At 51.1% G+C, this 886-nt stretch overlaps 1 annotated feature.

Moving 5' to 3' along the window:
* Positions 246–453: a silencer, noted in NCBI's record as "fragment chr16:56885802-56886009 (GRCh37/hg19 assembly coordinates)". NCBI's record gives its function as "represses an EF-1alpha promoter that drives an FKBP-Casp9 reporter gene in an ReSE screen in phorbol 12-myristate 13-acetate-treated (for megakaryocytic differentiation) K562 erythroleukemia cells {active_cell/tissue: K562(+PMA)}" and the evidence as "EXISTENCE:reporter gene assay evidence [ECO:0000049][PMID:32094911]".

Here is an 886-nt window from a genome sequence, read left to right on the forward strand (position 1 = left end):
GTGAAGATTCTTTCTGGGTCCTCAGTTAAAACCATTAAAATGCCACCCAGATGGCAAGGGAAGAAGACAAATTTAAGGCCATTGGTCCCCCCAACATGAGTGGCACCTCAGCTGTTCCTGGAAATGGCCAGGTTTGCATAGAAGCCCTGAGAAGCAAACAGCCACAGAGAAATATGAGGACTGATGGTGGGAAGTGAGGCCCCAGAGGCTGGGGAAGCTGCCTGCTGGGAGTGCTATTGGGGAGAGACATTTTCGTTGGAGAGGTTGGCTGCAAATTCTTTTTCCTCAGTTTTCCCAAATGTCTCCTTCCCATAGCGCCAGTCTAGAGGCATCACCCCCACCACACCACTGACCCTACCACACTCGGGGTGGGTCTCTGATCAGCTTGATGGAGCAGCTGGCTTGAATTTTTAGGAAAATTCGAACCAAACCAAATAGAGCACTTTTTTTCTTCAAAAACAGACGTTTAAGATGTGGCCCTCTGGTGGCTTGCAGCTGCCAGTAGCATCAGAAAGCACAAGAATGTCAGACTTCTTTGAAAACTAAATTCTGCAAGTAAGGGTCTTCCCAACAGCGGGAGGCGGAGGATGGGAAGAGGGAAAGGTAAGGAACATGGAATGACTGTGCCCTGGCTGGAGGGAGCAAGTCCTGGCCAGGCAGCCACCCTGCACCACAAGGCTTCAGAGCTTGGGAGCTGTGAGTCCTTCCATTGCTCTGAACCAGTTTGCTCTTGTAGGAAGCAGGCACGCCAGTTTCTATTCCATCAGGCCACTGGGAAGAGGAAGTTAAAACCTGTTGCCTGTCGCACAGGGGGCTCTCCATAAATAAACGTTCATTGTGGCCACCCAGGTCCCTGCCTTGTGGAGACAGTCTCCAAGGCTGTAGG

Source organism: Homo sapiens, chromosome 16, assembly GCF_000001405.40.
Source record: "Homo sapiens chromosome 16, GRCh38.p14 Primary Assembly".
Classification (NCBI taxonomy): Eukaryota; Metazoa; Chordata; class Mammalia; order Primates; family Hominidae; genus Homo; species Homo sapiens.